The sequence below is a fragment of the Homo sapiens genome, chromosome 3 (assembly GCF_000001405.40).
Source record: "Homo sapiens chromosome 3, GRCh38.p14 Primary Assembly".
Taxonomy (NCBI): Eukaryota; Metazoa; Chordata; class Mammalia; order Primates; family Hominidae; genus Homo; species Homo sapiens.
In genome coordinates this window covers 175,316,847-175,343,633 of record NC_000003.12, presented here as the reverse complement: position 1 = coordinate 175,343,633, position 26,787 = coordinate 175,316,847, and the positions used below count along the sequence as shown (strand labels likewise).

The following is a 26,787-nucleotide window of genomic DNA, read 5'->3' as shown; positions in this document are numbered from 1 at the left end:
TCCAGGCAGACCCGTAGAAGACTTACACATAATGCATGAAAGACCAGGTGGCGCAGTGAACTAGAAATCACCAAAGAAATGCAGATTGTAGAAGGATCTGTCTAAGTGTCCTTGCTTAATTTCCATAATTTAATCTTTTCTTGGTTTCTTGGCTGTCAAGGTGAACATCAACACAATTCAGAAAGTTTTTTAAGGTATTGTAATTTCTATAGCAAAGCACTTTAATTACTACATATAATTTGTTAAGAAAAATAACAAGGAAATGCATTACAGGTGGAGAGGAAAAGTGTTCTAAATCATCCAACTTCATTTTTTTTCATGTGTGCAATGGAGAAACTCTATATATGCCAAAGCATTTACTGCTGTAGCAAAGGGTTTTAATAACTATATATAGTTTGTTAAGAAAAATTACCAGGCAATGTATTGTAGGTAGAGGGGAAAGGTATTATAATTCATCTAATTTCATTTTTTTAATGTGCACAATAGAAAAATTCTATACTTCCCAAAGCATATACTGCTTTGAAAGTTATTTGGCATGAGACTATTGAGAGAAAGAATAGTGGCTGCTATTTCTTATTAACACAATTCTACTACTCAGAATTTTTTATGCATACTACAGAAAATGTGTTTTTAAACTTTTAAAACTATTGTTCAATCTGGGGTATCTAAAAGAAATATTATGCTAAATTTCACTACACTAAAGCGACACATGTAACTGATTGGTACCATATTGTATTAGACTTTTCCAAAAGGATTAAAGTATAAGTCACAGCTTCCCTCACCCTGGGTGATCAAACATTGGACATGATGAAAAGCTGTATCTGAGGACAATACCAGTTGTGAAGTTTTGATTAGGCAGCAAAACAGAAACAAAGAAACATAAAAGGAAGTTGGAAGGTAGTAATAAAAATAATGGAAAGCATTTTTCTTTTGATTTATTGCTATTTTTTAGTCATTGCCATAATTTAAGAAAGTCAGAGTCACTATTACAGTTTGTTTGAACATCTACATTAGAAAATTAACTATAAAATATCCAGAGCACCTCCGGAGACTTGATTCACTTTGTATAAATGTAGCTCTGTATTATTTGAGATAGTGATACACACACACACACACACACACACACACGCAATATTTGGCAAATGCCAGGAGGGAGTAATCAGCTTAACACTGAAACAACAAGGATTGTCATCAACTTTAATAATGCTCACTACCTATCGGTTAAAATGCTGCCTAAGGATCAGATGCTTTGTGGTCTGACTCAGCTTATTATTTTATCCTTATCTCACATAACTCCCCATCCTACTTTCCACCCACAAGTAATCACAAAGTACCTGCTCCTTTTATCTCAGTGCTTGTGATTGTGTAGCTTCTTATCTGAAACCTATCACATGTATAGACTTCATATATATTTTTTTCTGACACTTCTTTTTAAAAGCATTTCATCAAAGACTTTTAAAACAGTAGATGCTTCATATGCAAATGTAAGAGACCAAGAATTATCAAAACAAGAACAAAGTTGTAGAACTCATTCTTAGCAATTTTAAAACTTACTACAAAATTATAGTAACCTAGACAGTGTATTACTGGTATAAGGACAGACATATAGATCAATATGAATAGAAATAATACATAAATTAACCCATACATCTATGCTTAATTGGCATAATTTTCAACAAAATGCCAAGAGAGTCAATGGGAAAAGAATAATCTTTCAACAAACAGTACTGAGACAACTTGCTATCCACATGCAAAAGAATAAAGTTGGACTCCTACATCATACCATATACAAAAATTAATTCAAAATGACCTAAATGTGAGAGCTAAAACTACAAAACTCTTAGAAGGAAACATAGGTGTAAATGTCTATGATGTTGGCATAGGCAACAAAATAAAAATCACAATGGGTCATACTGGGATTATTATAATTTTAAAAAATAACAAACCACAACAGAAAAATAACAAGTGACAGAAAGGATATAGAAAACTTGGACATCTCATATATATTGCTGGTGGGAATTTTAAACAGTGCATCCTCTATAGAAAACAGTTTGTCAGTTCTTCAAACAACTAAATACAAAGTTACCACATGACCCAGCAATTCTACTCTTAGGTACATGCCCAAGAGAATCAGAAGCATAATATGTTCACACAAAAACGTATATGTGAATATTTGTAATAAGATTATTTGTAACAGCCAAAAAGTGAAAAAAGACCAAATGTCCATCAGCTGATAAATGGATAAACAATACGTGGTGTATCAACACAATGGGATAGTATTCAGCCATGCAAAGAAATAAAGTACTGATACCTGCTACAACATGAATGAATCTTAAAAGTATTATGCTACATAAAATATGTTAGTCATGAAAAACCACACATTGTATGATTCCATTTATAGAAAACATCCAGAGTATGGGAATTTATAGAAAGCAGTGATTAGTAGTTGCCAGGGGCTGGAGGGAGGAGAGAATGGGGAACAACTGCTAATGCGTACAGAGTTTCTTTTGGGAGTGATGAAAATAGGTTGAATTAGTGATGATTTTTGCAGAACTCTGTGAATACGCTACAAAAAACAGTATTTAAAATGGTGAATTTTATGGTATGTGAATCATATCTCATTAAAAAAAAAAACCTTAGTTGAAGTCACACTTTCTTGGAAATGGATTTTCTAGGCTAAGGAAGATGTCCACCTCAGCCGAATCTCATTCCTGTAACATCTTATTCTTCTATTCTGAACTCACTGTTAACACTATGTATCTCTGTCCTTCTGGATCTTTGGCTTCTCCAATAGAGGGACTCTTTGTTTTGTCTCCTTGTGCTTCTCTTATGGTCATTTGAGAAATGCTTATTGATCAAACAAAGGAAGTCATTCTTAAGGAGCAGATACACATCATGAGGAAAGAAAGAAGCCATGATCATGTTAATTGCATCTGTATCCTTACCAAATAATTGATGATGAGCATCTTAACTGTGGCAGGGGCTTGCTTTCATAACTCTAGGGCCAGTTGAAGAAGCCATGCTGCCACAAAGCTACTCCCAACACTCCCTGCTGAGAACTGCCTTCTCTTTGTAGAACTGAGAAGGGGACAAGGAGCTGTCCAACTTGATCTAGGTCCCATAGACATTCCTCTAGTAGAGAAGTGTCAGGAGGTACCAGTGGGCATTATCCCAGCAATCGAGGGCTCCTATCCCATCTGTCAGCTGTAAATAGAGTGCAAATTTAGAGATATCATACATCTCACTTATCTCTGTCCTTGTTTTCCATCCTGATATGAATCATCTGGTCATCCTGGGCACTAAAAAGTATGATCTAGGAAAAGACAGCCATATTTCACCAATATCCCATTATATTCAGATGTGATTTTATAGCCATCCTAATTATATCATAGTTATCGAACATTTATAAATTTGTAGCATTCCTTATACTTAACAAGAGAAAATTTGTAACATTTCTTCTATGACTTATACAACCTGCTAAGTGAAAATATAAATTTTTGAGCTAAATTTACCAAAATGGTTCCTATCCTGTTTAGTTCTTGGCTCAGGGAAGAGAAAATAAACTGATTAGAGAGTTAGTAGTAACAGTGAATATCATATGCCACACCCATGAAACTCTCAAAATCCTAAAAATAATTATCAATGTAACTAAATTACAGACTTTTAAATAATGATGTGTTGAGGTTATATCTCTTTTAGAAAATGGTACAACTCTTTCCTGAAATATCATCTCAGTGTGCAGATTTTAACACATTTCCTTATTAGTTTTGAGCCTTTTTACACAAGAGAAATTCATCCCCAGAATTATATTTTACTTCTTTTATCTCTGAACATAGTGTCTATCCAGATAGGTAATGGATAAGGTCTGAAAGGGGTATATCAAAAGATATTTTGTCTAGGGTATCCATGAGTCCTCTGAAATTATAGGCAATTTTAAAAGTATGTTACATGTAGTTTTCTGGGAAGAGGGCACATTTCTCAAAGCCGTCAGCACTTTATGTAATGAACACCACTTATATTCTGTGCCCATTCTCATATTCATTCTTTTGCTCAGGACTAGTATGTCCTCATTATCAAGCTAGATGCACAAAGAATTAAAGACAAATATAAGACATCATTCATGAACTCAGGTATTTCATTGTGGAATTAAAGAGATGAGACTTGTATTTCTTTATTTTTATACAGAACAGATTGTATTTATAACCTCTAAGATCCCTTCCAGTGATAGAAATCTCAAATTGTGAATCATTATTGGCACACAGCAGTGGAGTTAAAAAGAGAGGAAAAACAAACAACGTAGGACCTTTGAAACTTTTCACATGGCACTCAGCCGATGGAACCTAACAATTCCAAGCTAGAAGATACCTAAAGCAGGATCCTCCTGTCCAACCTACTTATTTCACACAGGCTCTCTATCTTTCGATTAGTGATTCTAGACAATGTTTGATGTGACTGTCACTATTTGCAATATTAAATCCAAGATTTAACTTTATCCTCCTCAAGTCTGCTGAAGAATGGCTTTGAACTGCGTGCCAGCACAGTGTGCCTGCCGCAGTTGTTCCCCACTCCTTCAGGGTTCTGCTGTATTGCCAGAGGCTGCACTGGAGGCTTTGTTTCAGTGACGCTTTCAAACTCCTCCTGCCCTGTTTCTAATTGCTGCTCTTCAACTCTGTACAACACCAATGCTGTTACTTTGCTGCCTTCCCTCCCTTCTGTGCAGCATTGCTAGTCCTGCAGCTCAAGTGATGAGTCACTCACTTTCTTGAACTCGCCTCCTTCTTCACCTCACTTGACTTGAGAGGTGCCCAAGAGGCTCAGCCCCAGCCAAAGGATAGTACCAATCCTAACTTTATTTCAGGGAAACTCAAGGAACTCTTGCACTCCTGCTCACACTTTAGTGGGTGGTTTTGCCAGAGTTCCTAAACTCTTCACATCAGTTCTGGAACTCAGTTCCTGGTGTTTTGTTTGTTTGTGTGTGTGTGTGTGTGTGTGTGTGTGTGTGTGTGTGTGTTTGTGGTGTTTTTTTTTTTTTTTTTTTTGGTTTTTGTATTTTTATAATTCTCTGCTGCTCCTAAATTGACAACCTTCCTGGTGCCTCTGTTGCTATAAAACTGGGGTCCTGATAAATGTTTAATAATTTCCTCACAGGGACGGGGACCTACGCAGAACCAATGGCAAAGTTGTCCCCAACTCCTATCTCCTTATTCTCATGCAAATCTTGGCCTTTTTATACCGCCCTGCAGCATCTTAATATAGACCCATTGTCTTCAGTAGGCTTTTAAAAAAAGGTTTGGGATCACTCACAAAAGAGGTAACAATTTAAAATCGAATATGAACCATCACAATGCTTAAAATGGATCAGATTCTTCCCATCGCATGGATTTTCATTTAGGCCATATCCTCTCTTAGGGTCAGCTAAACACCAGCGATTTCACTCCCAGCTCTCTCTTTTTAAAATAAATCTCTTCCTCCTGTACCTTCACTCTCAGATTCCCACGACTTCCTAAAGCATGACAATTTAGTCTTCCATACCAGAACCACACTCCTGACATAGCTTGGTGTATCTAAAAACTCATTAATTGCTTTACTAGTGTAAAAGCTGTGAAAGTTCAGTTTGTTCTGTGAAGGAGAAGAACAGAACTGAATTATTAGGCAGGGTTTCCATACACCACTCTCATCGTAGTTTGCTAGGCTCTTACTCGTTATACTAACTTGTCCAAATGAATATCAAAGCATTAACCAAAACAGGTTACTTACACCTAATCAGGAACAGAGACTAGTGAAACATCTAATAGTTGCTACAGTCAGCATTTCTTTGTTTTTCTTCTAGAAGATGGTGAAAATAGGAGCATGCTGAAAAATTGTAAATCTTTCTTCTGTACTTTATATGATAAAGTCAAAGAAGCTGTTTGTTTGTTTGTTTTTGTATTAGTTTGCTAGGGTTGCCATAACAGAACAATACTGAGTGAGATGCTTAAAACAATAGAAATTTATGTCTTCAAAATTCTGGAGGCTATAAGTTCAAGATGAAGGTATTGGCAGGGGTGGTTTCTTTCTGGGGCTCTCTCCTGGCCTTGTAGATAACCATATTTTGTTCGTGCTTCACATGGCCCCCCCAAGTCTGTCTGTATCCTAATCTCTTTTTATTAGAACACCAGTCATGGTTGATTGGGAAATGCCCCAATGCCTTCATTTCAACTTCATTGGCTTTTAAAAGACTATCTCCAAATACAATCCTATTCTGAGGGGCTAGAGTTTACTGAACATATTAATTTTGAAAAGATAACTCAGCCAAGAACACCTCTTGACTGAATATCACATGGATTCCATGGTCAAATATATCAAGAAATCTTAGTCTGACTCTAAATAGGACCACCATACCACCTAGACCTAATACCACCTTACCACCTAATACACAGACCAACCAAGACTCTTTTGAGAGTAAAAGGGGTTGCTATCAGTAATTACATAAGACAATATGTAATTGTCTTATGTAATTCCAATTACATAAGAATTGTAATTCCAATTTCTTGGAATATTGAAATGACAGAGACTTTCAAAGAGATACCATGGTAACAACTTAAGTGTGTTTGTGGAGCAGGTGAAAAATTTCAATGAGATGTATTCTAGAAATAATTGCCTAAAGCACATTATCTTTTCAGCCTATTGCTTGAAAATGTGCGTATCTGTATTATCATAAAAACTGTCACTTTATCATTTTTTTCCAAGATAAAATTGCATTTTCTATTCTGTCACTGAAATGGAAAAATCACCCAAGGGACTGGTTAGAGAAGGCTGTTTAAGAGGTTTGTTCAAATTTGTGTTTAAAAAACACAGACTTTTGAACATGGTTAGCAATGAACTGGAACAGATCATGCTGAGGAAAAGATTAGTTGGGATACACTGATTTTCCAGACTCTAGACTATACCAAAAATTCAATTATAAATCTAATTACAACTTCAATTGTTAAACAATCAACCAGATTATTTTTTGTTGCTGGCTGTTTTGTTTCCTGCTGACTCATAAGCAGGTGCACCTGCAGGTGTATACTTTGCCATCACCATGTGATCTAATCAGCCCTGCCCTTTCCTACTTTCTGTATTACTTTTTACACATCTTAAGCTACAAAATCTGCAAAAGCTGAGGTACAAACCATACATTTCTATGTTGGGGCATAAAACTGGAGAAGGATTCGTAGCAGGAAGGCCAGATATTTCATGCCAGCAATCCCACAGTAGGTTTGACTGTGTAGTAGTAATTCCAGATATTCCTCAAAAATGACTCCGTGGTTAGATACATTTGGGAGATTTTACAGACTGTAGTGCTTTTAGAGACTTGAAAACACATTACAATAATAATAAGTCTAATAGTTTTGTAGTAAAGAAATCTGTAGTGTAGCTTAGTTGGATTCTCCATTTCCTTAACAAATTTACTGCAGATACTTTTGTAAATGTTAGCAAATAATGGCCTGAGGAATTAAAGAGAACGGAAGGTGGAAAAAAAAAGAAGCTTCAGAAAGGCTTTCGGGAGGCCCTGTACCCAAAAGGAAGCAGCGAGGGTATTCAATAATCATATGGAGGGGTATGCACGTATATAAGTCACAATCTTTGTAAATATATAGGTGGTGTCACTGCTCATTACTCAATGAGCAGTGTCAGGGAAAGAAAGTTAATTACCTGACACGTTTCCAGCAGACAGAGCTATTTTCACATTTAAAAGAGCGACCAAAGCCTCACTTTTAATTTACTTAAAAATAGTCCACATTTATACTCTTCAACTCTAACACTTAGATGATTTGCTCTCAAAAAAACATAATATTCCAGAGATTCAATTTTTTTAATTCTCACTGAAAAATTTAGGAACTGAGTGGCTGTTGATAGGCAAATAAAAGTGCAACACAATTTTTCATACAAGACACATCTCTCAAATGAAATTGTATGGTACTGAAATTTACAATGCTAGCAGTTTGAAGTAAATGCAATAACACTTTAAAGTGGCATTACAAGATTTATTTTTACATACTTAAAATTCAAAAACTCTTCAGAGAATTCTAAAAATAGAAAATATTTACTTTAGGAGCACTCATCTATGTTTTGGTTCAACACTAAACCATAAAAGAATTCATGAAGCATACCTAACATGTGGTTCTTAGAGTCTGCTTTGTAAATACAACTTTCAAATGGTAAAAAATGCAAACAATCCTCAGTTATCAAGATTAGGTGCAGATACTATCTCATGGATGATCTATAACCACCGAATTTTTTCAAACATCACACTGTTTTAGACATCTATTTATTCTGCAGCACTCATTCCAACGGAATTTTGCTTGATGACAGAAATTCTCTGTAAAGCCATATTGGCTATTAAACACTTCAAATATGACTGGTATGGCTGCCTTTTAAATTTTATTTCATTTAAATTAATTTAAAGTTAAATAGCCATATATGGCTAGTGGCTATCATATTGGACAGCACAGCTCTAGCCCTTCTAACTCAGTAGACGCGGTAGACGTGGTGAGGTTTTGTCCAGATGTTCCACTGTGATGCCCCATCCTGTCAAGAGAGAGCCTGTTGTCTCAGCTGCTGTGAGTTCTGTCAGCAGATAGCTTCCCACTGTTAAGATTTTCAGGGTTTGCCTCAGTCATCCAGTCTTCACACAACGGCACAACGTTCTGGGGGAGGCACACTTCCAATGACTGATTGCAGAAACGGCATACAGACCGGGCCATTTGGACTACCAGTGAACAAGTCTGATAGGTCGTATCTTCAGGTGTGGTTTGACGGTCCCAATAACACAAAGTGGAACACAAAGGGAGTTCCATTTCTCCCTTTATCCAATCCTGCTGTGCTCCCTGTTTTCCACAGGTATTGATCATTAATAAAACCCTTGCAAACCAAACTTGCTCTCAGTACCTGCTTCTGGACAATCTGACCATTGTCAGTCTCTAAGAACTGATGTGGAGTGATTTGTAGAATAACTTTCAAGTGGGGAAAAAAACTCCAACAAAGTACAAATGCATATTTATAGTATGCTGCATTTTATGTAAAATCAAAGGATAAATAAGAAGAATATGTGTATATGCTTATTTCCTACCAAAAGAAACACAGAATAGACAAACCATAAATAAATAAGATAGATTTCTTATAGGGGGTAGGTGAAGTGAGGTGGTCGATTGAGGGGGAAAGATAAACAAATGAATAGATACATTGATCATCATGAGAGCCATGTCTCTCACTGTTGGTGAGGGGAGTTACAAATAGGGAAGAGGGAAAAAGCAGAATAAACCTTATACAAGCTGGGTTGGAATTGAAGCTATCAGTATCTATAAATATGGATTGCTACCTCTACTATCTGTCTGTCTGTCTATCTATCTATCTATCTGTCTATCTAATCTACCTAATCTAGCTTTGTCCATCGAGAGGACTTAAAACACGCAACAATAGTCAATAAGTCTAGCACCCAGATATTGATTCTAAATATCTTTTTCTACGAAAAGGATCTAGAGATTTTTGGAGAAATGGCTGACTCTAGGTATGAGTGGAGAAAATACAAGATAAGCCTAAAACATTGTACTGTGTCAGAAAGTAAGCGTGCATTCAAAAGATGATGCAAACATACAAAGATGTCAAAATATTGGACAATTTTTATTGTTATTTCTTAATGATACATGATATTTATACATATATATGGTGATGCATGTGATATTTTGTTACATGCATGGAATGTATAATGATCCAGTCAGGGTATTTAGGGTATCTATTACCTTGAGTATTTACTATTTCTGTACATTGGGAACATTTCAAGTCCTCTTTTCCAGCTATTTTGAAATATGAAATACATTGTTGTTAACTATAATCACCCAACACTGATACTGAATGTTAGAAATTATTCCTTCTATCTAGCTATGTATTTGTACCAACTGACCAACCTCTCTTCATCCCCCCGGCGCCCACCACACCTCTACCCACAGCCTCTGATATCTATCATTCTACTCTCTATCTCCATGATATAAACTAATTTTTTAGCTCCTACATATGAGTAAGAACACGCATATTTATATTTCTATGCCTTGTTTATTTCACATGACATATTGACCTCCAGTTCCACCCCTGTTGCTGTAAATGACATGATTTCATTTCTTTGATGGCTAAATAGTATTCCATTGTGCATATATACCACATTTTATTTATCCAAGCACCTTGAGGATAAGCTATCTTGCTTACAGCCACCACCTGGGGCTGAAGCACATGCTCCCTAGCCACCTACCTACAGCTACTATTACTAAAAGAAGCCCCACATTCACCAGAAATAGGGCTGCAACACAGCTGCTGCTGCCCCATCCACCTTTGATGGTATCTGAGCACTCCTCTTGGGGACCTGAGATCGGATTCACCCAACCTGCCACCACCACCACAGCTGACATCTACCTGTACACAACATCTGCAGGCCAGAGGACTGGCCCATTGAAGCTACCACTAGTACCAGCACAAAGAGAGGTTTATCCTGCCACTGCTACTGCCATTGTCCACACCATGCCCACTGCCTGGGGGCTACATGTCCAACCCACCAATGCTACTGCTAGCACCCAAGCAAGCCTGAAAACCCAAGAATTGACATGTAAAGACACATATAGAATGAAAGTAAAGGGATATATTATTACATATTGATAAATGGGTCAATTCACCAAGAAAATGTAACAATTGTAAACATATATGCACCCAATACCAGAGTGCCCAGCTATATAAAGCATGCATTATTAGATCTAAACGGAGAAATAGACTCCAGTACAATAATAGTTGGGGACTTCAACACCTCACTCTCAAAAAACAGATAATCTAGACAGAAAATGAACAAACATTGGAGTTAAATTGCTCTTTGCAACAAGCCGACCTAACAGACATTGACAGAACATTTCATCCGACAGCTACAGAAAACACATTCTTCTCATCAGCATGTAGAAAATTTTCCATGAAAGACTATATGTTAAGGCACAACACACGTCTCAACAAATTTAGAAAAAAATCAAAATCACAGCCAGGTGTGGTGACTCACAACTACAATCTCAGCATTTTGGGAGGCGAAGGCAGGAGGACTGCTAGAGCCCAGGAAGTTGAGACTAGACTGGGCAACATAGTGAGACCTTGTCTCTACAAATAATAAAAATATTAGCCAGGCATGGTGGCACATCCCTTTGGTCCCAGCTACTTGGAGGCTGAGGTGGGAGGATCACTTGTGCCTTGAAGGTTGAACTGTAGTGTTTCTGTTTTTATACCAATACCGTATTGTTTCGTTTACTATATGCTTGTAATATACTTTGAAGTCAGGTGCTGTAATGTCTCCAGGTTTCTTCTTTTTGTTCAGGATTGGATTGGCTGTTTGGGCTCTTTTATGGTTCCCTTCAAATATTATAATTGTTTTTTCTAATTCTGTAGAAACAATGACATTGATAGGGATTGCATTGAATCTGTAGATTCATTTAGGCAGTTTGGTCATTTTAAGAATATTAATTATTCCAGTCCATGAGCACAAGATGTCTTTCCATTTGTTTGTGTCCTCTTCAGTTTATTTCATCAGTATTTTGGAGTTTTCTTTGTTGAGGTCTTTAATTTCCTTGTTTAAATTTATTCCTAGGTATTTTTCAAAGCTACTGTGAATGGGATTGCGTTTTTTATTTCTATCACAGCTCATTTGTTATTGGTTTACAGGAAGGCTGCTGATTTTGTATGTTGATTTTGTATCCTGCAACTCTACTGAATTTATCAGATCTAAGATTTTTGAGTTTTATTAGCTATGAGACCATGTCATCTGCATAGAGGGACAATTTGACTTCTTCTTTTCCAATGTGGATGTCTTTTTATTTCTTTCTTTTGCCTGACTGCTCTGGCTAGGACTTCCAGTACTATGTTGAATAGGAATGGTGAAAGTGGACATCCATGTCTTTTTCCAGTTCTCACAAGAAAGGCTTTTCCCCATTTAGTATGGTATTAAGTATGGGTTTTTCATATATAGCCTTTATTACATTGAGGTATATTCCTTTTCATCCTACTTTGTTCAGAATTTTTATCACAATGGAGTGTTGAATTTACCAAATGCTTTCTGTATCTATTGAGGTGACCATATGTTTTTGTCTTTCGTTTTATCAGTGTTTATCATGTATATCATGTTTATTGATTTGCATATGTTGTATCATCTTTCTGATGTACTGTTGAATTTGGTTTGCTAGTATTTGGTTGATGATTTTTTGTGTCTATGTTCATCAGGGATATTGATCTGTAGTTTATTCTTGTTGTTGCATTCTTGCCTGGTTTTGGTATCAAAGTAATGCTGGCATGATAGAATGAGATATGAAGAATTTCTTCCTCTTCAATTTTTTGCACTAGTTTGAGGAGAATTGGTGTTAATTCTTCTTTGAAAGGTCAGTAGAATTCAACATTGAAGCCATCCCACCCTAGGTTTTTTTGTTGTTGTTGGAAGACTTTTTATTACTGACTCAATTTTATTACTTGTTATTGGTATGTCCAGGTTTTCTATTTCTTCCTGATTCAATCTTTGTAGATTGTATGTGACCAAAATTTATCCATTTTCTCTCAGGTTTCCAGATTGTTAGTGTATAGTTGTTCATAATAGTCCCCCTGATCTTTTGTATTTATGTGGTTTCAGTTGTAATGTCTTTTTTCATTTCTGATTTTGTTTATTTGGGCCTTAACTCCTTTTTATTTGTTAATCTAATCAGTGGTTTATCTATTTTATCTTTTCAAACAGCCAACTTTCTGTTTATTGCTGTTTTGTATTTTTTCAAGACTCTAGTTCCTTTAGTTCTACTCTGATATTTTATTATTTGTTTCATTCTACTAAGTATGGGTTTGGCTTATTCTTGCTTTTCTAGTTCATTGAGATGGATCATTAGATTTCTTACTTGAAATCTTTGTATTTTTTTGATATAGGTGTTTTTGCTATGAAATTCCCTCTTAGCACTGCTTTTGCTATATCTCATAGGTTTTGGTATGTTGTGTTTCAATTTTCATTTGTTTCAATATTTTTTCCCTCCTTAACCTGATGGTCATTTAGGAGCATGTTGTTCATTTCCATGTATTTTTATAGCTTCCAAAATTCCTCTTGTTATTGATTTCTAGGTTTATTCCATTGCGGTCTGAGGAGATATTTGATATGATTTCAATTTTTTTTTTTTTAAGACAGAGTCTAGCTCTGTAACCAAGGCTTGCGTGAAGTACTGTGATCATGACTCACTACAGTTCAACCTTCAAGGCTCAAGTGATCCTCCCACCTCAGCCTCCCAAGTAGCTGGGACCAAAGGCATCTGCAAAATGTAGCCAGTTACTGCTGTCTTGTTGAAGCAACCATACAAGGTAAAAAATAAGAAGTGCTACAAAATTTTTAAACTAATCATATCGTTGTTTCAATAGCTTCTATATTCTTTAAGATAGAAACATTAGTAAATCTTTTTTTTTAGCAGTGGATTTTATCATCCTCAGAATTCATCATGGATTTTTGTGGAAACTTTAGTTCTTAAACTAAACAAACTGATTGTCTCTATTGATCAAGCACACATTTAATTTAAAGTAGAGTGCTTCCAATACAAGTACACAACATTCTAAATGATAAATGTAGTATATGGTACACTGATTTTTTATGAACAATAACCACTCAAAAATGTTCTCTGTAGGCTATAATCCTAGACATTCAAACAATCAACTGCAAATTTCCCTCTGTGGGGCCAAGAGAACTTACGTCGCCAAAATTATTTTTCAAAACAAAATTTAGATTTTTGAAAGGAGCAGTTTGAATTTAAACAATCAATCTTTTCAAGATGTTATGAATAAACTTTCAGAAAAATTTTGCCGCTTAACAATGAGCCACACCATAAGTGGTTCTAAGAATCAAGTTGAATAATATGACATGTAAATCTGAAGCCTGCAGAGCACATATAAGAACCACCAGACACTTACAATGAAATAGTAAGAATTCAGACACTTTATTTTCCCCAACCAAGTGACAGATATTCATACTGTGAATATCTAACATTTTGCTTTGACAACTAGGCACATATTTATATTTTCTGCCATTCTAGTCAGGGAATGGTTCAACATTGTCTTAGTTGATTTAGTGCCAACTCAAGTCAGTCTTTCGATATTTGTCCAAGTAACTGGACCAGGAATACCTGGTAATGACTTGTCACAAATTACAGTGATATTCTTTATTCTTTGAATAGTTTTGTTTGGCAGGAGTGATGTTCAACAGACAGTAGATAAACAACACAGAGATCCACTGAATTGTAACACTGGGAATATTAAATAAACTGTGTCATTTGATACATTTCCCTAGAATAGAGCCACTGAAAAGACTTTTCTCTCCAGAATTTAAAACAAATAAAAAGGAAAAAAAGGATTGTAGCAGAAAGACAGAGAGAGGGACATAGATACGAAGCTTTAAATCAGGATGGATTTCTGAAAATGGTACATAAGGAAATTCAAGTCTAAGTCAAGACAAACAATTAACTGGTAGTAAATAGATTACCAGTTACCTGGAGGTGTTACTAAAATTAAAATCAACACTGTAGTCAACACAGAATTCAGAAGAGAAATTATTAAAGAAAGTAGATGGAAGAAAAGGATTTGTTATTCCTAATACTATTTTCAGTTCTTCAGATTTCAGACAATCTTACTGCTGAGAAATTTGGAAAGGGTTTTCTTTTCCATGTTTCAACACAGACCAAATGGAATACTACTTAAAGATACATATTTTTTACTTTCTTATTTTTTATGCTTACCTCATATCTTTCTGATTTTCTGTTTGTTTTGGGTCTTACCCTATGTAGCTGATTTATGATTTTAGGCCAAATATAACTCCAACTACAACCTATCACTGGTATTATAATTATGACTAGATATGTAAATATCAGTTTGGATGCCCAATTTACCTCAGTCTTTGGCTAAAATGCAGGGTTCTTGTGCTTCAAGATTGAGAATTGATTTTTTGCTATATAAGCACTAAAGTCTCTTAGAATTCCAGAAATATATGGTCCTGGGAAATCAGATTTATTCGGATCACAGTTTAGTGCAGTTGAAATACTTATAGCAAGATTACTTTGAGCTGAAGATAATTGAGAAACAGAAGATGCTCCCCGTGCCCTACGAAACACTCTCTGCCTCCCCCGCAATTTACAAAAAGTCAGGGTTAGACTTTTTTTTTTTTTTACAGTAGAACTTACATTCAATTTAATCTTTAGTTTCAAAGATAAACCTATACAGGTTCAATCTAATGAGGATAATACAAATAAATGAACAAGAAGTACTCAACTAAATATTGATTCAAAGTACCATAAGGAACTCAAAGTGTTTCAGACCCTAACTGTATCAGATTCTATCCCATTAGCATTCCCACACATGGGTGTGTATGTGGTATGATGGAGATCAAAAGTTCCACCTACTTCTTCAGGACTGGTGCCATGATCCTAGTGTGATATACTGAAAACATCCTCCTTCACAAGTTTGCACTGTCTAGCTAGGTGTAAACTGACTAAGCTAATACAATAATGTATACCCCCAAATACTTCAAATCCTCCTTGAAGTAAAAGACCTTGACATTCCCTGCTTTTCTCACAAAACTGCAGGTGTGTAATAATTCCGCAAAGATTCCTAATCCATCCTTTTGATTTAGACCATCAATTTTCAGCAGCTTCAGCCATCACCATCTATTATGCATCACTTCATACAGATCTTTTGTTATAAATATCTATTCTTTGATTCATGGCATTGACACAACTTTTAACTCTTAAAATTGGATTCACATAGACTTTTAATGAAGACTCTTACTAACCCAGAGGGGCAGAGGAAAAGGAACTACATAACAAACCTTACTCAAACAAAACTTTTATCTTTCATTAACTTCCCCCCATTTATTTATCTTCCCATAGTTTGCTACCCCTGAAAGGCTAAATCTCTTTTCTTTTGTCTTGTTACTTCTCTACACGTTTCTTGTTCTTTCTTAAGATATTATATAAAAGCTAAGTACTAACAACCCTGAGTTACCCATCACTGAATTTCTCCTATACGTATGTGTGCTGGATTTTAATTTATGTAAATTTTACCTTGAAAAATACTGGTGTTGTGGGAACGTACATATAAAAAAACAAAAATGGTAGAAATGCAGACAGTTGAGGCAGGGTGCGGTGGCTCACGCCTGTAATCCCAGCACTTTGGGAGGCCGAGGTGGGCGGATCACGAGGTCAAGAGATCGAGACTATTATGGCTAACATGGTGAAACCCCGTCTCTACTAAAAATACAAAAAATTAGCCGGGCATGGTGGCAGGCGCCTGTAGTCCCAGCTACTCGGGAGGCTGAGGCAGGAGAATGGCATGAACCCGGGAGGCGGAGCTTGCAGTGAGCCCAGATTGTGCCGCTGCACTCCAGCCTGGGCGACAGAGCGAGACTCCATCTCAGAAAAAAAAAAAAAAAAAAAAAAAGAAATGTAGACAGTTGATAAAGCTGGGTGAGGCGTATGGAATGTTCATTATTTGACTGTGTTTACTTTGTTTATATTAAAAACCAAACAAAAACTACCTCCTTGTATTTTGGGTTGTTCTAAATTACTTCTTTACAGCTTATCACCCTTAAATTGGTAAATAAAACAAAGTTCTTAAATTGAAAAAAGGTAGTTTTAGATTAGTCCCTCTAATAATCATTTCCTATGATTTGGATGTGTACCCCACAGCTCATGTGTTGGAAACTTGATCCCCAAAGTAACCATGTTGAAAGGTGCCACCTTTAAGAGGCGATTGGATCATGAAGTATTCTCACACATGGATTAATGCTGTTATCATGAGAGCAGGCGCGTTATTTTGAGGGGCATGTTATAAAAGTGAGTTTGGCCCTTTCTTGCTCTCATGGATGCTCTCTTACCATTATGCCTTCCACCACTGGATGAAATGATTAAAGCCCTTGCCAGATGTGAGCCCCTTGACCTTGGACTGACCAGCCTCCTGAACTGTAAGAAACAAATCTCCGCTCTTTATAAATTACTCAGTTTCAAGCACTCCATTATAGCAACACAAAATGGAGTAAGAAAATTGAAACCAGAAGTGCGGTTCTTGCTATAACAAATTCCTAGAAATGTAGAAGCAGCTTTGGAAGTGGATAATGGGTAAAGGCTGGAAGAACTTAAAGGAACAGGCTAGAAAAAGCCTAAATTGTTGTGAGCAAATCTAGGATTATTAACAGCAATTCTGGTGAGGTATTTAAAAAAAGACAAGAGCTGTAGGGAAGGCTGTATCTTCATAGAGATTACTTAAATGGTCATGATCAGAATGTTAACAGAAATACCGACAGTAAAGGCCATTCTGATAAGGTCTCAGGCAGAAATGAGGAACAATGTACTGAAAACTGAAGTAAAGGACATCGTTGTTACAAAGTGGCAACGAATTTGACTGAATTGTGTCCATGCCGTAGGGCTTTATGGAAGGTAGAATTTAAAAACAATAAATGAAGTTATGTGGCAGAAGAATATATCTAAGCAGCAAAGTGTTCAAGGTGCTACATGGCTTCTTTTGACTGTTTACAGTAAAATGAAAGAAGTGAAAAATGTTTTAAAATGGAATTTTTAATTAAAAGAGAAGTAGAACAGAAAAATTTGGAAAATTGCAACCTTGTAATGTAAAAAATGAAAAATTATTTCTAGGAGAAGAAAGAAAGGGTGCCACTATTTGATAAGAACATTAGTATGGATGAAAAGAAGCCAGACACTATTCGTCAAGGTGATGGCAGAATAAAGCCATTTCAGAGATTCTATATATGCTAAACTTGCAACTATTTTAGGAAGTTTAGATTATTTTAGAACAAAAGTAGAAAAAAAGGATGTTGAAACTCCTTACAACTCTGGCCAACACTTGCTAGCTATGACTGAATTCTGTATTTATGAAATGACCTGGGGCAAGAAAATGTTGAGTAATGGTGCCAACCAACTTACCAACTTACCAACTTAGGTTAGAGCACTCTTACAGAGTCTGTTTTTGGTAGCACTGTAGCCCATTGACTTGCCACAGTGAGTTCACTGCCAAACGCAGCTTCCTGAAGCTGAGCAATTACAATGCAGGACAGTGAGTGTATTTGCAAATGAGAGAGCTGACTGGTCTTTTAGGTGATGTCTAGAAATTGTAGATAGATGCCTACTAATTCTAACTTAAAATTGTAACGATAAGACATGGGACTGTACAAAGTACAGATCTGTGAGATCCCAGAGAAAATTTACATGGATTATTAAAGGAATACTTTTGTAGCATATAGAAGAAAAAGCAATAATCAGTAGATGCAACAAAATTCATAAGTTATAATTCATATGTGATTCAATTTGCTTCCTTCTTGGAGAAAGTTGCTAATTAATTGGTAAAGTTAACATAGAATAGGCAGCTGGATTTGAGTAAGATAACCAGTAAATTCTTTTGCGATTTTTTGGGGAAAAAAAAACAAAAAAAATTTGGCAGAACACATAAATAATTACATAATTTTTTGGGTTAGTTTAATTACTGACTGAACTGTCACGGTTAATGGGTCAGTATCACCCTGCAAGAAGATTCAAAGAGCTTTTTCCTCAGCCAGGTTGAATGAACAGAATATCCGCCAATGACACATCGGACAGAAATTCAATGATGCGGTGAGCATCTGCCAAAATCACCATTGTTTTCTCTCTCCCACATGATCCCTACTATCATGAACAGAGCTATCTAGGAAAAAGAAAGATATTTGCTGCAAAGTAGCCATCTCTATACTTCCAGTGATTGGCCAAAACAATGAGGTCCCTTCTCTTAAGACAGCCAGAAAATCATATTAAATCCATTCTTCTACAGCATCTTTTCTTACTACTTTACTCACCTAACTTGATCATATGTACCTCTAAACCCTGGACTTAAAGTTATTACAGCTGCCCCAAAGCAGCAGACATTTCATGCTCCTGGGTATCTGTACATGCTATTGGCTTACCTGGAGTACCTGTCACACCTGGTGTTAATTTGTCTTATCAGTCAATCAACAATAACACATAAAATACATTTCTGTCTGTTCATCACACTGTAATTTGTTGAGATAAAAATACATTACAGTCTAAATCCAATTTATACCAACAAATTGGTAGTCTATAATTATGAGAAGATAAAAAATAAATTGCTTTTTAAAATAATAAGATGGGATGCTAAGAATTATTTGACATCACTATTCCTGATAGATAGCATTTATTTATAAATTGCAACCTTGTAATGCTTACTTACAAGTATAATAATGATGACCAACAAACTTACCGACACTTGGGTAACCAGGCGTAGAAGGGTCTCCTCCTGGATTCAGTGACACCATGAAGGTATCATGGCTAGGATTCACAGTCTTTGGCAAATCACAAGGATCGATATACAGAAGAACACCTCCAAATCCAGCCTTTTCCAATGAGGAAAGCTAAAAGAGGGAAGCAAGCTATTAAAAATATTATCATGCACATTAAAAGTTCATATAGTGCCATTTTGCCAATGTGGCTATGATAAGATGACTCTTTTTCCAGTTTTTTTTTCTTTTTCTTTTTCTTTTTCTTTTTTTTTTTTTTTGTTTGTTTTTTGAGATGGAGTCTCGCTCTGTCGCCCAGGCTGGAGTGCAGTAGCGTGATCTCAGCTCACTGCAACCTCCACCTCCCGGGTTCACGCCATTCTCCTGCCTCAGCCTCCCGAGTAGCTGGGACCACAGGCGCCTGCCACCACACCCGGCTAATTTTTTTGTATTTTTAGTAGAGACAGGGTTTCACCGTGTCAGCCAGGATGGTCTCGATCGCCTGACCTCGTGATCCGCCCACCTCGGCCTCCCAAACTGCTGGGATTACAGGCGTGAGCCACTGCACCCGGCCTTTTCTTTTAAAATAAGCAGAGATTTTAGATTTCTATCAAGCCCAGAAGCTTTTTCTACTGGCCTTTTTTTTTTTCCTCCGGTTTTTCTCTATCTCTACCAGCATTGCTATAATGTCTATATTTTATTTCAATTGTCTATTCATGGAATTCCTCACTCTCTGATTTTTAACTAAGTGGATTTTAACTTTCTACTTTTTTTGGATTAATAGAGGATCTACCATACATAAGGTTCTTTTTTTTATTATTATTATACTTTAAGATTTAGGGTACATGTGCACATTGTGCAGGTTAGTTACATATGTATACATGTGCCATGCTGCTGCGCTGCACCCACTAACTCGTCATCTAGCATTAGATATATCTCCCAATGCTATCCCTCCCCCCTCCCCCCACCCCACCACAGTCCCCAGAGTGTGATATTCCCCTTCCTGTGTCCATGTGATCTCATTGTTCAATTCCCACCTATGAGTGAGAATATGCGGTGTTTGGTTTTTTGTTCTTGCGATAGTTTACTGAGAATGATGGTTTCCAGCTTCATCCATGTCCCTACAAAGGACATGAACTCATCATTTTTTATGGCTGCATAGTATTCCATGGTGTATATGTGCCACATTTTCTTAATCCAGTCTATCATTGTTGGACATTTGGGTTGGTTCCAAGTCTTTGCTATTGTGAATAGTGCCGCAATAAACATACGTGTGCATGTGTCTTTATAGCAGCATGATTTATAGTCTTTTGGGTATATACCCAGTAATGGGATGGCTGGGTCAAATGGTATTTCTAGTTCTAGATCCCCGAGGAATCGCCACACTGACTTCCACAATGGTTGAACTAGTTTACAGTCCCACCAACACTGTAAAAGTGTTCCTATTTCTCCACATCCTCTCCAGCACCTGTTGTTTCCTGACTTTTTAATGATTGCCATTCTAACTGGTGTGAGATGGTATCTCATAGTGGTTTTGATTTGCATTTCTCTGATGGCTAGTGATGATGAGCATTTTTTCATGTGTTTTTTGGCTGCATAAATGTCTTCTTTTGAGAAGTGTCTGTTCATGTCCTTCGCCCACTTTTTGATGGGGTTGTTTGTTTTTTCTTGTAAATTTGTTTGAGTTCATTGTAGATTCTGGATATTAGCCCTTTGTCAGATGAGTGGGTTGCGAAAATTTTCTCCCATTTTGTAGGTTGCCTGTTCACTCTGATGGTAGTTTCTTTTGCTGTGCAGAAGCTCTTTAGTTTAATTAGATCCCATTTGTCAATTTTGTCTTTTGTTGCCATTGCTTTTGGTGTTTTGGACATGAAGTCCTTGCCCATGCCTATGTCCTGAATGGTAATGCCTAGGTTTTCTTCTAGGGTTTTTATGGTTTTAGGTCTAACGTTTAAATCTTTAATCCATCTTGAATTGATTTTTGTATAAGGTGTAAGGAAGGGATCCAGTTTCAGCTTTCTACATATGGCTAGCCAGTTTTCCCAGCACCATTTATTAAATAGGGAATCCTTTCCCCATTGCTTGCTTTTCTCAGGTTTGTCAAAGATCAGATAGTTGTAGGTATGCGGCATTATTTCTGAGGGCTCTGTTCTGTTCCATTGATCTGTATCTCTGTTTTGGTACCAGTACCATGCTGTTTTGGTTACTGTAGCCTTGTAGTATAGTTTGAGGTCAGGTAGCGTGATGCCTCCAGCTTTGTTCTTTTGGCTTCGGATTGACTTGGTGATGCGGGCTCTTTTTTGGTTCCATAAGAACTTTAAAGTAGTTTTTTCCAGTTCTGTGAAGAAAGTCATTGGTAGCTTGATGGGGATGGCATTGAATCTGTAAATTACCTTGGGCAGTATGGCCATTTTCACGATATTGATTCTTCCTACCCATGAGCATGGAATGTTCTTCCATTTGTTTGTATCCTCTTTTATTTCCTTGAGCAGTGGTTTGTAGTTCTCCTTGAAGAGGTCCTTCACATCCCTTGTAAGTTGGATTCCTAGGTATTTTATTCTCTTGGAAGCAATTGTGAATGGGAGTTCACTCATGATTTGGCTCTCTGTTTGTCTGTTATTGGTGTATAAGAATGCTTGTGATTTTTGTACATTGATTTTGTATCCTGAGACTTTGCTGAAGTTGCTTATCAGCTTAAGGAGATTTTGGGCTGAGACAATGGGGTTTTCTAGATATACAATCATGTCGTCTGCAAACAGGGACAATTTGACTTCCTCTTTTCCTAATTGAATACCCTTTATTTCCTTCTCCTGCCTAATTGCCCTGGCCAGAACTTCCAACACTATGTTGAATAGGAGTGGTGAGAGAGGGCATCCCTGTCTTGTGCAAGTTTTCAAAGGGAATGCTTCCAGTTTTTGCCCATTCAGTATGATATTGGCTGTGGGTTTGTCATAGATAGCTCTTATTATTTTGAGATACGTCCCATCAATACCTAATTTATTGAGAGTTTTTAGCATGAAGGGTTGTTGAATTTTGTCAAAGGCTTTTTCTGCATCTATTGAGATAATCATGTGGTTTTTGTCTTTGGCACTGTTTATATGCTGGATTACATTTATTGATTTGCGTATATTGAACCAGCCTTGCATCCCAGGGATGAAGCCCACTTGATCATGGTGGATAAGCTTTTTGATGTGCTGCTGGATTCGGGTTGCCAGTATTTTATTGAGGATTTTTGCATCAATGTTCATCAAGGATATTGGTCTAAAATTCTCTTTTTTGGTTGTGTCTCTGCCCGGCTTTGGTATTAGAATGATGCTGGCCTCATAAAATGAGTTAGGGAGGATTCCCTCTTTTTCTATTGATTGGAATAGTTTCAGAAGGAATGGTACCAGTTCCTCCTTGTACCTCTGGTAGAATTCGGCTGTGAATCCATCTGGTCCTGGACTCTTTTTGGTTGGTAAACTATTGATTATTGCCACAATTTCAGCTCCTGTTATTGGTCTATTCAGAGATTCAACTTCTTCCTGGTTTAGTCTTGGGAGAGTGCATGTGTCGAGGAATTTATCCATTTCTTCTAGATTTTCTAGTTTATTTGCGTAGAGGTGTTTGCTTATTTTAAAAGGAGAGTTGTTGTGACCATTATGTCTTTCCCTAAAGCAGAAATCACCTGCAGTATTGTAACATATTTTTTCCAGGGCTGAGCCTGTCACACCAGTCATTAAAATGTTGAAATACTGTCACACTGTTTAGAAAATAGCCACTGTCCTGAACCTCCTGACAGACCCCAGTATACTAGTCATCTTGGTCTCTGCCTGGAGGTACCAGCCAGACCTCCCAGATATAGCAACTGAGGAATTTACACGTAACCTTATGGGGGTCTCCTTCTGAAAGATCAACCCTTGTTCTGCCCCCGTCGTTAAATGTTTTGAGAATAGACCCTGTCATTTGAGACATATTTAACGTAAAGATTCCTCTCTGTTCCTTGGTAAGCACACAATACATAAGTATGATGGAACAGAAGAACTTGACAATATACTAAGTTTCTTTTTATTTTAACTCTTTAAATTGATTTTTTTTTGTAAAAAGCTTATTCATTTTAGTCATCTTAGTATGACTTATCTCATATGAAAAACAATAATCATGATTTGCTAATTCTATTAGTTTTTCAAGAGAGAGGAAAAGTAATTAGAGAACATAAAGATAATAAAGGAGAACATGACTGAAGGTCATATTCAATATAGGCAGTCACTGCTCGTTGTGTGACTTTAGTTAACAACCATACTTCACTCCCCAATTACTGCTTATGTTGCGTATTAACTTTTGCAGTGGAGTAAGCAAGGCAGCACCATTCGCTGAGGACAGGGATTGTGCTTACCTTCTCTATCATTGTACACCTTGCACTTAGCAGGCTTTCAAGAGTATTGCTAAATGAGAGAATGAATGAGACAGATGCAGCCTAGGCACAACAGCTATTTTTATTTTTATTTTTTGAAACACAGTCTCGCTCTGTCGCCCAGGCTGGATTGCAGTGGTGCAATCTCGACTCACCACAACCTCCACCTCCCAGGTTCAAGCCATTCTCCTGCCTCAGTCTCCCAAGTAGCTGGGATTACAGGCGCGCACCACCATGCATGGCTAATTTTTGTATTTTTAGTAGATACGTGCTTTCACCTTGTTGGCCAAGCTGGTCTCAAATTCCTGACCCCAAATGATATTGCCGACTCGGCCTCCCGAAGGGCTGGGATTATAGGTGTGAGCCACCGCGCCCTGCCCAGCAATTCTTAAAGAAAGGAGAGCCCTGAGAAAATATTTGGGAAGCCCTCCTATTAGGAAAAATAAAACACAATTGCATATATAGCATGATTTTAAAACAATGTGCCAAAAATAGAAACAGATATAGAATTTAAGTATGCCACAATAATGGCATTTTTTCTAGTCCTTTAAAAATGCTCTTCCAATTTTTGGTGTAATGAACAGCATGTATTATTTTTATGATTAAATAAACTAACATTGAGAACCTAAGTAAAACACAAATGACTAATTTCTCTTCTATAACAACCATGCATATCAGACTTTTGTCATTATTTTCCCTTCAGTGTTTTAGTAGAAAGGAGGGAAGAATTTAAGGAGAAATGGGGAATGAGAAAAGGAAAAAGAGCAAAGAATGTGTGAATGAGAGAGCTGCATTTAAGACTTACTCTTCAAATCCTCACCCCCACCCATGTGGGGGAGGGAGAGTCTAATGTTTACATGCAGAAATAGCTATTCTTAAAAAGAATAATCAATTGAATGATTTTGAATGTTTGCTTACTATAGAAGAATATATAAAAATATAATAGAATATAACTCTGCAATTAAAAGGGAAACATGGATGAATCTCAAAAGCATCATGCTAAATGAAAGAAGGCAGACTAAAAAAGCTGCTTCCTGTATAATTCCATGTACATGACATTCTCAAAAAGTTGAAACCCTGGGACCAGAAATCAGATCAGTGATTGCTAGAGAGCGGTTGGGGAGAGTAGTTTAATTACAAAGGTGAGGAGGGGATTTTGAGGGAGATGGAAATATTCTGTATCTTGATTGTAGTGGTTGTTACATTCATCATATATCATACACACATCACCTTAAAATGGTTAATTTTACTGTATGCAAAATATGCCTCAATAGACAACAAAAATATCTGTTTGTAAATAAATGAATGTACATACTGCAAAATGTTAAGAGTGGCATTCTGTAGGTGGGAGTATTGTTCATTTTTATATCTTCTTTCAGTATTCTGTATTACTTTTTAAATAAATAAAAACTAACAAAAGTTTTTTGAGGAAAAAAATAAAAACTTCGCTGGACAGCAAGTTTCTAAATATTAAAAAATTACCTTTTATTACTAAAGTAATTCATGATCATCACAGAGAAAAAGGTGTAGGCAAAGGAAAAAAAAGTTCCATCATTTTTTCTGTCAAGAAATAGTTAATGTTAACTTGATGGGGTGTCTAGACCCTTTTACTAGGGTTTATGAACATACATACGTACACTAAAACAAAGTAAAACCACATCATAAATGCTACTCTGCATTTTCATTTGCTTATCAGTACAAAATAAACATTTGTCTGTTGATAAATACAATTTTATATAATTTAAATTGCCATAAACTGTTACATTTACATATATATAATATAAATACTACTATAAAGAGAGGCATACATGTTATTTAACGAATCCCTGACTGTTAGTCATATAACAGTTGTTAATTTTTAATTTGTTAATTAAAATAATTTTAAACTCTTTATAATTTTTCAATATTATATGCAATAAACATGCTTGTAGCAAAATCTCTGCAACAATATCTATTTTCATGAAATATATTTCCACAGGTGGAATTTCCGGGTCAAATCATTCATTTTTTGATGATTTTTGATAAGCTATTTTCCCTTCAGAGGAGCTAAGTTAGAGTCTTACTAGCTATATATGTTTTTGCTTCTCTTCATTCTCACCAACAATTAACATTATTTCTTTTTAAGCAATATTTACCAATGTACCCAAAAATAATTTGTCAAAAACATATATTTTAATTACAAGTCAAGTTAAACCTATTTCTGTATGATTTGGGCTATTTACATATTTTTTTGAGAATTACTTGTTGTGAAAAACTATTTTTAAGATTTCTGGGCCACTTATCCATCTATAACCACATATTGGGTGTCACTTTTTTGAAAGTAAAACACTGGAATTGGGATATGGAGAGAAGTAGGACAAGGTCTGTGAACATCTAAGGAAGTTCAGTTTACCAGCGGGATGGCCAAATATTTCTATCTTGAGAGCTAACTCCAATTAACTGGGAAAGAATAGCTGTCTAGGGAGGGATTGTGAGGTCAGGTTCAGGGTCATTGCAAAAGTGGTTCTATGAGTGATGTCTTCCACAAGCAGAGGAAAGGGATATGGGAATCCACATTTTTTTTTTAATGTGCTAACCCTGCTTTGGTGGGATAGTCAAAATATCCTCAAGAACTCCTTCTGTAAAGGTAAGTACAATAACTATTTGACTGTTCAATGTTCATGAAACCTAGTGTTTTAGAGCTAAGTCAAAAGTATCAAGCTAGAATTGCCAGTTGTGTCTCTTCTGAGTATATTTGGTAACATGTTGTGACCCCTTTTATAATCAATACAGAACGTGAATTTTTCTATAGCTGATGGCCTATAATTAAGCAATAGGGTGTAATCATATACTATTTTTGGCTAGAGATTACTCACCCACAGCCCTGAAGGGATACAGCCCAATATGTGATTTAGCTCCCTCTTCCACTGTCTGCCTGCAATGGTTTGACCTGAGATGAACACCTGTTCAATGCTGTCAAATTTGGCTCCTGGTGGCATCTGTCACTGGCCATCATAGTGCTCTTAATTTAGAAATAAAGACACTTAATTTCAGAAATTATCTATTTTTGGATTTCCAGTGAAGTTGGCAA

At 36.4% G+C, this 26,787-nt stretch overlaps 1 protein-coding gene across 23 annotated transcripts in view; it reads right to left on the bottom strand.

The window, feature by feature from the left end:
• NAALADL2 (N-acetylated alpha-linked acidic dipeptidase like 2) overlaps window positions 1-26,787 on the bottom strand; it is a 1,369,567-nt gene that overhangs the window by 466,915 nt on the left and 875,865 nt on the right. For all 23 annotated transcript variants that reach the window (XM_017006077.3, XM_047447876.1, XM_017006075.3 and 20 more), the window contains one exon: window positions 19,309-19,459. In XM_017006077.3, the coding sequence (XP_016861566.1) occupies window positions 19,309-19,459 (151 nt within the window). The remainder of the gene's footprint in view (window positions 1-19,308; window positions 19,460-26,787) is intronic.